The sequence below is a fragment of the Homo sapiens genome, chromosome 21 (assembly GCF_000001405.40).
Source record: "Homo sapiens chromosome 21, GRCh38.p14 Primary Assembly".
Lineage (NCBI taxonomy): Eukaryota > Metazoa > Chordata > Mammalia > Primates > Hominidae > Homo > Homo sapiens.
The window spans coordinates 37,239,473-37,252,449 of record NC_000021.9 but is presented as its reverse complement, the minus strand read 5'-3'; the positions used below and the strand labels follow the sequence as shown (position 1 = coordinate 37,252,449).

The window sequence follows — 12,977 nt, the reverse complement described above, 5'->3', positions numbered from 1 at the left end:
CTGGAACTTCAGTAAATTTCACATAATACTGGCCATTACTTACCATGTGGAGAACTATCTGAGGATTGTTTATCCTGTTTTTTCAGACAAGATGGAAACAGTTACATAAAATAGTGGAGATGGGGATACCTAACACATTGAAATCTCTTTAATGTTTCTGATTTCCGCTTTCTAATCAAAATGGGTCTCTCAGTGCTACTAAGAAAGGGTAGAGTGTTTCAACAAGCAATTAATTGTCTCACTCATGTTTTCCCACCCAGCTCAGTAACTTACCTTGGTGTTTTGTTTTCATGTTAGTTCACTACTTAGTGCATTTGGTCCTCATTGGTAAATAAAAAGGCATCTCACTATAGGTGTACCGGATCTTTAGACCAAATGGGATGGCAGAATCTCAGGTGGTTTAGGAGGGAAGGCCTTGTTCAGATATATGCACACGACTGTGGGGAACGAAGATGGGCTGTCATGGTGCATCCCACTGCCAGGACCATTGGAAAGGAAAAGCATTGCAGAGAGAATGGCTGAGGCGTTGAGAGGCTTTTACTTTTCTAGCAGTTGTGTTCAAGTCCAAAATAAGAACTAACCCAAAGAAATGTGACTTTTTAACACACAATCTTCAGATCTTTTCCTGAGGAGAGACTATTAGGCCTATAGGTTATCAAAATTTAAGAGGCTTAGAACTTTGTACATTGAGGTCTAAAGGCTACCCACTCTGGGATTTTGTTTTATTTAAAAATGGATTCATTATAATAGGTAATCAATTCACAGGGTTCAACATTCATGAATTTCAAGATCGATACCCCCTGCCTCACCCACCCTATTCATCAAGGGCTTCTCCTGTGGGGCAACCACAGCTATCAATTTCTTGTGATTCCTTCCAAAGATACTGTATGCATCTACAAGTAAATATGTACAAATGTGCTTTTTCTTCCTCTTTTTCACAAATGGTGCAATATACAGCTTAAATTTTAAAAAAAAGTAGAATGTATGGGAGTGAGGGGGCGTAGACTGGACATGCTGATTCATATGCAATAAGGAGTCAGTTCTTAAGATAAATGAAGGAAACTAGCCCTGCATCCCCATATGTACTAGTGTAAATGATCTCCACATTGTTGAAAGAAAACTCACAATTTTCCTATTGTTGGAATTTAGTTTGTCGACCATCTTTTGTTATTTACAAACAGTGTTGCAGTGAATAACTATGTTCATAAGTCATCTCACATCTGCAAATGTATCTGCTGGGCCCATGTGTTTGTAAAATGTTTTTGGTCTTGCCAAATAGCCGGCACGAGGTTGCAACATTTCAGGTTATCCCCAGCAATGCAGAGAAGGCTTATTGCCTCCCCTCTGGCAACACAATGTAATGACATTTTTTTATCTTTGTTTTAATTGCTATTTATCATATTTTTGTTGAAATTGAGCATATTTTTCTGTGTTTAGGAACAATCTGCATTCCCTTTTCTGTGAGCTCTTTGTTCAGATCATTTGCCCTTTTTTTTTTCATTTTTCTTCTGAGTTATCTTTTTCATCGATGTCTTTTTTTTTTTTTTTTTGAAATGGAGTCTCACTCTGTTGCCCAGGCTGGAGTGCAGTGGTGTGATCTCGGCTCACTGCAGTCTCCGCCTCCCGGGTTCAAGTAATTCTTCTGCCTCAGCCTCCCGAGTAGCTGGGATTACAGGCGTGCACCACCACACCCGACTAATTTTTATATTTTTGGTAGAGATGGGGTTTCAACATCTTGGCCAGGCTGGTCTTGAACTCCTCACCTCCTGATCCACCCACCTCGGCCTCCCAAAGTGCTGGGATTACAGGCGTGAGCACCGCGCCCAGCCTTTCATTGATTTCTTTTAGGCATTCTTAAAATATTAGGGAAATCAGCCCTTTGCTAATTTGTTATATTAAGTTGTAGGTATTTTACCTAGTTTATCATTTATATAGTGGTATTGTTCATAGTCATATTTGTGGCCATATTTATTCAGAGTTTTGAGGCATTCATAGAAAGGCCTTTCCCACTTAGATGTGAAAAAAATTATTCTCTATGGTTTTGTCCAAAACTTTTATTATTTCAGTTTTTACATTTAAGTATTTGCTACATTTGTCATACACAAAAAGTTTCAGTATGGTCCAACTTGATTTTTTTTTTTTTTTAAGAGAGAGTCTTACTCTATCACCCAGGCAGGAGTGCAGTGGCGTGATCTCAGCTCACTGCAACCTCCACCTCTTGAGTTCAAGTGATTCTCCTGCCTCAGCCTCCCAAGTAGCTGGGACTATAGGCATGTATCATCATGCCTGGCTAATTTTTTGTATTTTTAGTAGAGAAGGTGTTTCACCATGTTGGCCAAGTTGGTCTTGAACTCCTGATCTCAGGTGATCCGCCTGCCTCAGCCTCCCAAAGTGCTGGGATTACAGGCGTGAGCCACCCTGCCCGGCCCAACTTAATTTTTTTTGGTTGAGTTCTCTGGCCAGTTTCCCAGTATCACTTATTGAATATTCCCTCTCTTCCCTAAGGATTTTAAATGCTACCTTTATCAAACATTAGCTTCCCATACTGTCTGGGTCTATTTCTAGACTTTTGTTCTGTTGATCTTTCAGCCTGAACATGTGTGCTGTATGACACTTTGTAAATTATAGCAGCGTTGTAATATCTCACAGGGCTAGTTTCTCCAATTTCCTTCTTTTCAGATTTATCATTGCATATAAACTTCAGAATCAGCTTGTCTAGTGTATCCCTCCCACTCCCGCCATCTCCCCCTCAAAAAAGAAAAACAATTGTGGTGTTATTTTCTTTTAAGATTAGGTTGCCTTTATAAACCAACTTCTGGGAAAGTAGATTTGTTAAGGGCATTAAATCTTTCCCATTCAAAATCTGGCATGGTTGGCCATTTCTTCAAATTTTCTTTTGTGGCTTTCAGGCATGTTTTAAGTTTTGTCATCTGGGAGTTTTAGACATTTCCTGTGAAATTGACTTATAATATTTTAACTTTTTGTTCCTTTTGAAAATAAGGCCATTTCTTCCATTGTATCTTCTCACTAGTTGTTGGTTTATATGTGATACCTATTGGGTTCTCTGTGTTAATTTTGTACCCAGCTGTCATCTTTTCTGAAACTCTCTTCATGTTGATAGTAGTTTTTCAGTGGATTCCCTTGGGTTTCTTCAGGTATACACTCATTGTGCAAGTAGTGATCATTTTACCTCCTGCCTTTGAATTACCTCTTTCTCTCTCTAGTTTTATTGTATTAACTAGTACTTGCAGAACGTTAATTGTGGTGATAGTGGACATCCTTCTTTTATTCCTGACTTAAATGGATGATATCTTGTTTTCTCATTAAGTTTGATGCTGGCTTTGGGGTAAGGTAGATATATTTGGTCATCCTTCTATTATTTTACTAAGAATTTTATCAAGAATGCATAAATTTTTTCAAATGCCTTTTCAGCATCTATGGAGATGACTATATATAATTTTTCTCTTAATAGCTATTAATATGAGTTGTATTACCAGTTTTCTCATTATTAAACTATGCTTATATTCCTTGACTGAATTCTACTTGGTTATGTATAGTGTTGTTTTAAGTTGCTACTGGATTGCATTTGCTAATATTTTATTTAGGACCTTTGCACTGGTATTTACAAATGAGAATAATCTAGTTTTCTCTCTTCTCTCTCCTGTCTCTCTCTCTGAGTGTGTAGACTTTTGTCTTATTTTGCTGTCATTGTTATGTTGGCTTTTTTTTTTTTTTTAAGTTCGTTGCTTTCTAATAGTTTTATAGTGGAATTTTCTGTTCTTCACACAGAAAAATTCAGGGAATGATCTCCTGTGAAGCTGTCGGGTTTGGGGGCCTTATTTAGAACTTTATTTTTTCTATGATGATTGATTTGCTTGGATTTCATGTCTCCCTTGGAGTGATTTTGGATAAATTATATTTTCCCAGAAAAATAATTCACTTAGTCAGCTTTTCAAATTTACTTATATACAGTTGAATAGTGTTGAATATTATCTTTTAATTACCTCCATTTTTCTAGTATTTCTGCTCTTATTTCTTATTTTGGATATTTGTGTTTTTCTTTTTTGATTAGATTATTTAATAATTTGCTTTGTTCCCCCCCTCCCCCCACCCCCAGAAGAAAGACCTATTGGACTTATTAAGGGATCAGTTTGGCCAGTTTTTAAAAGTATATCATGGACACTGAAAAGAGCATATTCTCTGTTTTCAGGGTATAGAGATCTATGTATGCCAGTTCATTATACCCTGTTGATATGTGACGTAGGTCTTCTGTATCCTTGTTTCTTTCTGTCTACTCTATTGGTCATGATCTGTAAATTAATGTCTCCCACAACGAATTTGTTTTACTCAGTTTCTCCTTAAATCTATTCCCTGTAGTTTTTGCTTTACAAGTGTGGACACTGTTTGATCTGCAGATAATAATACCACGTCTTTTTCTTTTTTTAGAGACAGGGTCTCGCTATGCTGCCTAGGCTGGTCTCAAACTCCTGGGCTCAAACAATCCTCCTGCCTCGGCCTCCCAAAGTGCTAGAATTGCAGGCATGAGCCACCACACCTGGCCTCACAAGTCTTTATTGTGAGTTGCTCCTTTAGAATTGTAAAGTCCCCTTTGTCTTGTTTAATCCTTCATTCTCGGAATTCAGCATTGTCTGATATTAAGGTGACAATCCATGCCTTCTTTCTTTGCCTTTGTTTATCCTTTCTTTTTTATCCTCTCCAAATCCACCCCTGCCATTTTAGGTGCTTCTCTGTCATACAACATAAAATTGGGTTTTGCCTTGTAATGGAATATTCATGTCTGTTTTTGAATAGGCATTAATTTGGCTCATTTGTTAATATGACATACGTTTGGCATTAATTCTGTCATTCCTGCTTGGTTGGGGGGAATGTGTTTTTAAGTAGCTTTTGAAACATCTTTTTACAGTCTGTCTTGTTTGCTTTAGTTGTTTGTATGATTTTCTAGTCATCTGGAGTTTTATTTTTGTTTTAACTGTTACCCTTGCAACTTTTTATTGTACCTGAATCTTCACATTTTAGACATTATTTATTAATTTCCTACTGTGAACAATGGTAAATTAGCATATTTCCTCTTTCCTTTTCCCTTTCTTCCCGCTACTACCTGATCTTAGTTACTTATAGTATTCGTCGTTGTTTACTTCTGTTAAGTTTATTTGTACGACATTATTTGACTTATTAACTTTAAATCAGCACTGTCCAGTAGAGCTCTCTGTGATGATGTGAATGTACTTCTTATCTGCTCTGTCTCTTATGATAGCCACTGGCCATAGTGTGGCTATTAAACACTTGAAATGGAAGGTCCTGAATTTTAACTATTAATATAAGTTTAAGTTTCAATAGTCACATATGGCTTACAGCTACCATACTGAAAAGTGTAGACCAGGTGCAGTGGCTCACACCTGTAATCCCAGCACTTTGGGAGGCCAAGGCAGGATTGCTTGAGCCCTGGAGTTCAAGACTAGCCTGGGCAACACAGCAAAACCCCATCTCTACAAAAAATACAAAAATTAGCTGGGTGTGGTGGTGTGTGCCTATAGTCCCAGCCACTCAGGAGGCTGAGGCAGGAGGATCACTGGAGCCTGGGAGGTGGAGGTTGCAGTGAGCTATGATCACACTACTGTACTCCAGCCTGGGTGACAATAAGACCCTGTCTTAAAAGTATGGAAGTATGGTTTGAATAATACATTTTTAAATCCCAGCCATCAAAGATGGGAAAGCCATGTACATTATACTACTTCCTAGATTCTAGTTCTCTTAGTCTCCCAGCTAGTGTCGATTACATTCTACATTGTCAGGACTTATATTTTGCATTCTCTTCTTTCATTATAATCATCACTTATCTCAGTCTTCTTCTTACAATTAAATGGAGTTAATCCTCACAGTTGGTTCTTTTGACATAGTTTTTCTAGCCATCTCTTGGATAGCTATAGTTTACTATTTAGTACATTCCTCAAGAAGGACTTTTATATAGTATTGCTTGGGATATGTTTTTTTTTTTAGTTTGGTTGGGTTTTTTTATTTTTGCACATTTAAAACTTTCAGTTACACTGGAATGACAGATTAGGTGAGTATAAATTCTAGGGTCACACTTCACTGCCTTGAGCATTGTTGTATCATTCTGCTTGCATTTTGAATTCCATTTTGCTATGGAGAAATATGGTTTCTTTTCCTCTTATGAGTGACTCGATCTTTTTTCCTGACTCCAAAAGGATATTTTCTTTTTTGAATGAGAACACTTTTGCTACAGAGTATTTTCATTGAGTGCTCCTAATTCCTTTGCCCTTGACTGTTTTTGAATTATCACAGTAAATATTTGTTCTGCTTCATTATTTCAGTTTTCTTATTTGGAACTTAATTAGGCATAGCTGTGTGTTTGTTACCTGTCTCCAATTTTATCTCTTTGTGGTTCTTTTTGAATTCTTTCTTAAATTTTCATTTAATTTATTTGGATTTTGTCATTTCTGCCCTGCATATATCCTTAGACCCTTTTAAATTTATTTTCTGTGGTGGTTTGATTTTTTCCTTTTACTTCTTTTCTGAGCTTTCCTATATTTTTATCTCTTCCTTTTGCCTCACCATTTCCTCCCTGAGCTCTTATAGCTCTGTTTTGTGTTCATCCTTTATAGAAGCAATTGTCTCATCGGACTTTACAAATTCATGGTGAAATGCACATTCACCATTTTCATCTGCTTGATGGTATGGATTTTTCTTCTGGTGAATGATCGTTTATTCATTTAGTAAATGTTCATTGAATGCCTACTGTTGCCAATCACTCTGCCCTGGTGGAGTTTATGTTCAGGGGCAGGAGACAGACAATAAATAAAATAGGGAGGCACTTTTGTCTTATTTTGGAAGGTGTAAGTGTCACAGAGCGCAGTCAGTCAGGGAGGGGGGATAATGAGTGCTAGGGAGGGAGTAGTACAGTTTCAAATGTGGGCTCACGGAACCGAGTCCTGCAGGTATCTGAGAAGAACAAGCAGGTGGAGCAAGGAACGTGGGCAGTTGCCTAAGGCTGGAATGTGCAGGCCTCTGAAAGGAATGGCAAGGGGGCCAGGGCAGGAGCGAGGGAGCAGAGGGCCCCATATGAGGGCCGTCAGGTAAGGAGAGGGCGGGTCCCCCTTTGTAGGCTGCTGTGGCTCTTACTGTGTGCTTGAGATGGTGAGCTGCTGAAAAATCTAAGTGGAACAGTGACCTGACCTGGCTTTCGCATTCATCTGCCACTCGTATTTCTCTCCTTCCTCACTTCCCCTCCTTCCTTTCCCTTCCCACTCTCATTTTTTAATCCATTAGATGTCATGTGCTCCTCTGCTGGTTCCTTTTAACCTCTCCTTGCAGGAGATGAATTTATTCCTAGACCAGGCTGGCTGGAGTGTTCTAATAGCCGGAGGATTTACGTGAGAGTTTCTTTCATCTTGACTTTGCATGAGCCCATGCAGTAACCAGCTGCAGGGCGTTTGCACCTTGCAGAGGGGCTCATTGTCTCCACCACTGCAGAGACCGACTGCTTCCAGCATGGGGCGGGTTGACAGGATGCCTCTCTGGGTGTGGCCTCAGCTGTTCCCAGGTGTACCCTCACTTTCCAGAAGAAGCACGTTTGCAGAGCTGGGGGCCTTCTTTCCGTTTTTCATCACGTCCCCCTGCTCAGTCTTCACTTCTTTTAACAGCTCTTCCACCTATTTCATGGTATTTAGCTATCTCCTTGCCTCGCCGAAAATGCAGTTTGTGGTTTTGGTTCTCATTCTTTGGGTGATTTCCAGGAAGCCAAGAGGGGTCGCGGACTTGATGCCACTATTTTCAAATCCAGAGTTCCAATTATGGTTTTGGCATTTTATTACAGAGAACAAATAAGAAAAAGAGTTGTATAGTTTGGTAGTGGCCTTTTACATTTAGAGAATACAAAGTTAGGCTGGGTGCTCACACCTGTAATCCCAGCACTTTGGGAGGCTGAGATGGGTGGATCACTTGAGGTCAGGAGTTCGAGACCAGCCTGACCAACATTGGTGAAACCCTACTAACAATACAAAAAATTAGCTGGGTGTGGTGGTGCATGCCTGTAGTCCCAGCTACTTGGGAGGCTGAGGCAGGAGAATTGCTTGAACCCAGGAGGCGGAGGTTGCAGCGTGCCGCTGCACTCCAGCCTGGGTGACAGAGTGAATGAGGAAAAAAAAGAGAATACAAAGTTAGAAAATGTGGTTGCTTTTGCCCCCCTTTGAACAAACTTGCCAGTGGTTTCCGCTGTGAGAGCCAGCAAAGCTGAGAAGAGCAAGGTGGCCAGTAGCCTTTGGAATGCTTGTTTCCAGGCGGCTCTTTGGGCTGAGGTTGAAGATGGGCAGCTTCAGGCCTCTCTCCAGACTTAGCTCCTCCAGGGCAGGGACTTGGAGGAGCCCCTCGAAGCAGGCTCTGAGTGGTGTGGTTCTTGGGTGCATGGCCTCTGTCCATCTAAAGCAAAGCAGCTGAGGCACAAAGTATAATAAAGAGCTGACTCGAGCCAAAGAGAGGACAGCTGCCCAGAAGATACAGACCCAGTGACCCTGGATATGAACTCCGTTCCCCTGTGTTACAAGTAGGTTGTTAAGGCAAAGAAAGGGGGACACGGAGTGGGGTGATACAAAGTTGTTTGCCAGGAATTCTCATAGGCTTACAGAAATGGCATTGATGGGCGATTGGCTCTCCATTGTTAAGCTCTAGGGTGCGGGCTGTAGTCTCGGATGGGGTGTGATTGAGGGAATTTATAGCTTAGCTGCTGGTGGCAAAAGCAGGTAGTTTCGAGAGATGAGCACAACCCAGAGAAGGGGAGGACGGGACTGCCGTCTCCTTTCAGTGTCTCTGGGCTGGATAACTGAAAAGTATTCACATTCCTCCAATGAAAGCTCTTTCCTTTACTCACCCTGAAGAGGGGTTGGCTCTTGGTGACGCGAGTGGGTCCCAGTGTCTGTGCTGGCTTCTCTGATGAGCACGCACACCACACGGGGCTGCGCCTCTTCCTCCTCCCACTTGACAATATGGCCTTTCCCAGGCCAGGCGCCTCCTCCATGATGAGACAGAAGCTACGGCTCTTCTCCCAAAACAGTAGCACCCTGCACACGATTTCGGTGTATACGTTCTGGGTTCGTTGCCAGTCTGTGAACGGTCCCTCTTTGTAGTCACGGCCCCCAGTTGAAGGCCTCTGCTTGTGATGTTGGACGAGGTATTAGTACTATCTGGAGCCATAAATCTTATGTCTTCCTGATGAAAGTCTAGACGAAAATCTGAGGGAGAAGTTCTTGGTGAGATCTTGGGTTTTCCTTAATGTCTGTTCTACCAGTGTATCCTATCTTCCTCTGCCAGGATCAATCAAGCATTGTGTAGACAGATCTTGCCTCTCTGTTAAACCGTCTCCTGTTTCTAAATCCCTTGGCCCTCGGCCTCAGGTGGGCTAATTCCCTATCCTTCTTTCATTGGTAGGAGTTGAATAAACCTGTATATTATAAGAATATCTAATTTATCCACAAATGTTAATTTTGTATTTTCTGTACTATATTGTGTCTCGAGTCATAAAATATTTACTCTGCTTACTTCCGAGGTATGTCACTACTTTTTTCCTCCTACGCTGCAGGGATTAAGGAGGGAAAAGGCTTTACTGATGTCATAGTTAGAATATGCCCATCAGGGAGACCCAGAGACCTGTTCCCGTGAGACTGACGGAAAGGGTTATGACTGCATAGGAACGGGACCATCCTCAGGCGCTACTGTGTGGTTCAATTGATAAAGCTCACAAATTATTTTGTCTCATTTATTTGTGGGACATATTCGTCAAGTAAACTTTAAAAAATATACTAGTGGATTTAAATTTTTTTTTCTTTTTTTGAGACAGGGTCTCACTCTATTACTCAGGCTGGAGTGCAGTGGCTCATTCATGGCTCACTGTAGCCTTCACCTCCCAGGCTCAAGTGATCCTCCTGCCCTCAGCTTCCTGAGCACACCACCACGCCTGGCTAATTTTTAAAATTTTTTTATTTGTAGAGAAGGAGTCCCACTATGCAGCACAGGCTGGTCTCGAACTCCTGGGCTCAAGTGATCCTCCTGCCTTAGCCTCCCAAAGTGCTGGATTACAGGCATGAGCCATGTTACCTGGCCTGAATTTTTAATATTAAATTTCCATTTGAATTTGGGCTATACAAAAAATTAATAGAATTAATGTTAATTAAACTTAGAATTTAAGTTACTTCACAGGAATTTTTATTTAAGTCTGCTTAGGAATTTTTTAGGAACATTAAATTAAACATTAAACATTAACATTGAAACAAACACAGTCATCTCCATTTTAAGCAGAATTCAAGGAGAACTCATTTTATTCTTAAGATTGCTTAAAATGGAGATGATCGTGTTTGTTTTAATTAGACTTCAAGGCTTTGGGATGGGGAGTGGAAACAAAAACAAAATACTTAGCACATTTAAGGGACATAGAATATTTCTTGCTTCCAAAATTCAAGTTAAAGTAAGAACTTGGTAAAAATTTTTCACTGGATAACTAGAAGAAATAAAAGATAAGCAGATTTAAACACCAGTAGGACAGATGTTTTTTAATGGTTTGATCTGCAGGCCAATTTTTATTTTTACTGTTTATTTTTGAGATAGGGTTTTGCTCTGTCACCCAGGCTGGAATGCAGTAGCGTAGTCACAGCTCGCTGCAGCCTCAACCACCCAGGCTCAAGCAATTCTCCCACCTCAGCCTCCCCAGTAGCTGGGACCACAGGTGGGTGCCACCACACTCAGCTAATTTTTTTTCTTATTATTTGTAGAGATGGAGTCTCGCTATGTTACCCAGGCTGGTCTCAAACTCCTAGGCTCAAGCAACCTGTCCACCTTGGCCTCTGAAAGTGCTGGGACTGCAGGCATGAGCCACCACGCCCAGCCTGAGACGTGTTGTTCTGTGTGGATTGTGGATTCAGTCTTTCTGTTCCGCTTGATACTATTTCATCCCCTCAATTTCCTCTTCCACTCGAGCCCCTGTAACAGATTGAGACCATCCAGTTCTATGGTGACAGGAAGAAACTGCTCTCCAATAGCGAATGCAGTTACTATCCGTAATCTATTACTCAGTAATTATCTTCAGATAAATGCACAGATGATCTGTTGTGAAGTCTCTCGATGATGTGTGAACCAAGGGAATGGAGGCGCCGATGCCTCCTGGTGTGAGCAGGAACCACAGGGACAGGGCAGTCCTTCTGGAAAGTGGCATGCTGCTGCCTCGTGGGTGGCACCAATAACCTCCAGTCTTGCTCACAGTAGGCATTTCTGGGCAGAAAGGACACCAGGCTAACCATCGTGTTAAATTACTCATGCATTTGCAGTTGTGCTGTCATTTTAGTCAGCGCTATTGAGAAAGAGCCTAACGAACAGAGTTTTATTTTCTTCTGTTCCTTTTGAAGGGACCTCATCCATGCCCATGTGTGATATCACTGGGAACTTACATTTGCCCTGGCCCTTCTCCTTGCACTCTTGAATTCAGACATCTGTTGAGATTCCCCAACCAGGAATGAAGACATGTCTGAGAGGCAGTGACGGGACGAGGTTTCTCATCCCCACACCCGGGTGCTCCCCGTCAGGTGTGTCCAGGCTGCCACGTCATTATCAGTGGGCATCTGTCCCCTACCAGGACCTGGGCCTTCTCCACCCTGGTATCCAGGTGTCTCAGTGAATGTCTGGATCTTTAAACAAATTGATGATGAAGGAGACCTACGTTTGCTAATAAACAAGGTAGAATGGAGGAAGCATGCTAATTTGATTGGTGGCTGTCTTTTCTCTCCCAGGAAGTGCTCTCTGGCGTGGTGGTCATATCGAGTAAGGATTCAGTCCAACACCAGGGAGTGTCTTTGACCATGGAAGGAACTGTAAACCTCCAGCTCAGTGCCAAAAGTGTGGGTGTGTTTGAAGCTTTTTATAATTCTGTTAAGGTAAGAAAGAATGCTTAGATTGCAAGTTTTTAGTTCAATATTGAAATGTTGGGCTGGGCGCAGTGGCTCAGGGCCAGGCGCAGTGGCTCAGGCCTGTAATCTCAGTAATTTGGGAGGCCAAGGCGGGAGGATCGCTTGAGCCCAGGAGTTTGAGAGTAGCCTGGGCAACATAGCAAGACCCCATCTCTATAAATAAACTTTAAAAATTAGCCGGGTGTGGTGGTGCGTGCCTGTAGTCCCAGCTACTCAGGAGGCTGAGGCAGGAGGATCCCTTGAGCCCAGGAATTCAAGGCTGCAGTGAGCTATGATCACAGCACTCTACTCCAGCCTCAGCAACAGAGCAAGATACCATGTCTCTTAAAAAAAGACATGTTTATGGTGGGTTTCACTTGCTGTGTGCCTTTATTGTTATCTGTTGTTATTTTGCAAGGGATGGTGGTAGTTACACTTCTGATATTTACTAATCAACCTGCGAAAATGGAGATACTTTGTTTCTAAGTATATCCTGTTATTGAAAGTCTGCTTATATTTATTCCTATTTGATAAATAGGATTAGGAGAACTATAAATGTATTAATTTCAGCCATTAAAAAGATCACACCTGGGTGCAGTGGCTCACGCCTGTAATCCCAGCACTTTGGGAGGCTGAGGCAGACAGATCACCTGAGGTCAGGAGTTCGAGACCAGCCTGGCTAACATGGTAAAACCCCGTTTCTACTAAAAACACAAAAAATTAGCGGGGTGTGATGGCGTGTGCCCCAGCTACTTGGGAGGCTGAGGCAGGAGAATCGCTTGAACCCAGGAGGCAGAGGTTGCAGTGAGCTGAGATGGCGCCATTGCACTCTAGTTGAGGCAATAAGAGCAAAACTCCATCTCCAAAAAAAAAAAAAAAAGATCACAGCTCTTCTGAGAAGTTGTGCCTGTGGCTTATGTTACATGCCTTCCAAAATCAAAACTGTCATTTTATTAGCTGTGTCTATGCTACTGTTGATTTGACACTAAGGTAAGATGAAAATAGAGCAAG

General features: G+C 41.6%; 1 protein-coding gene across 6 annotated transcripts in view; it reads left to right on the top strand.

The window, feature by feature from the left end:
* The window catches only part of VPS26C (VPS26 endosomal protein sorting factor C), a 44,689-nt gene that overhangs the window by 15,659 nt on the left and 16,053 nt on the right, over positions 1–12,977 (top strand). For 3 of the 6 annotated variants that reach the window (XR_007067776.1, NM_001331022.1, NM_006052.2), the window contains 1 exon segment: positions 11,811–11,954. Coding sequence is in view for 2 of the 3 variants with exons in the window: in NM_001331022.1 (NP_001317951.1) it covers positions 11,811–11,954 (144 nt within the window). In the remaining variant the exon portion in view is untranslated. 6 annotated transcript variants of the gene reach the window in all.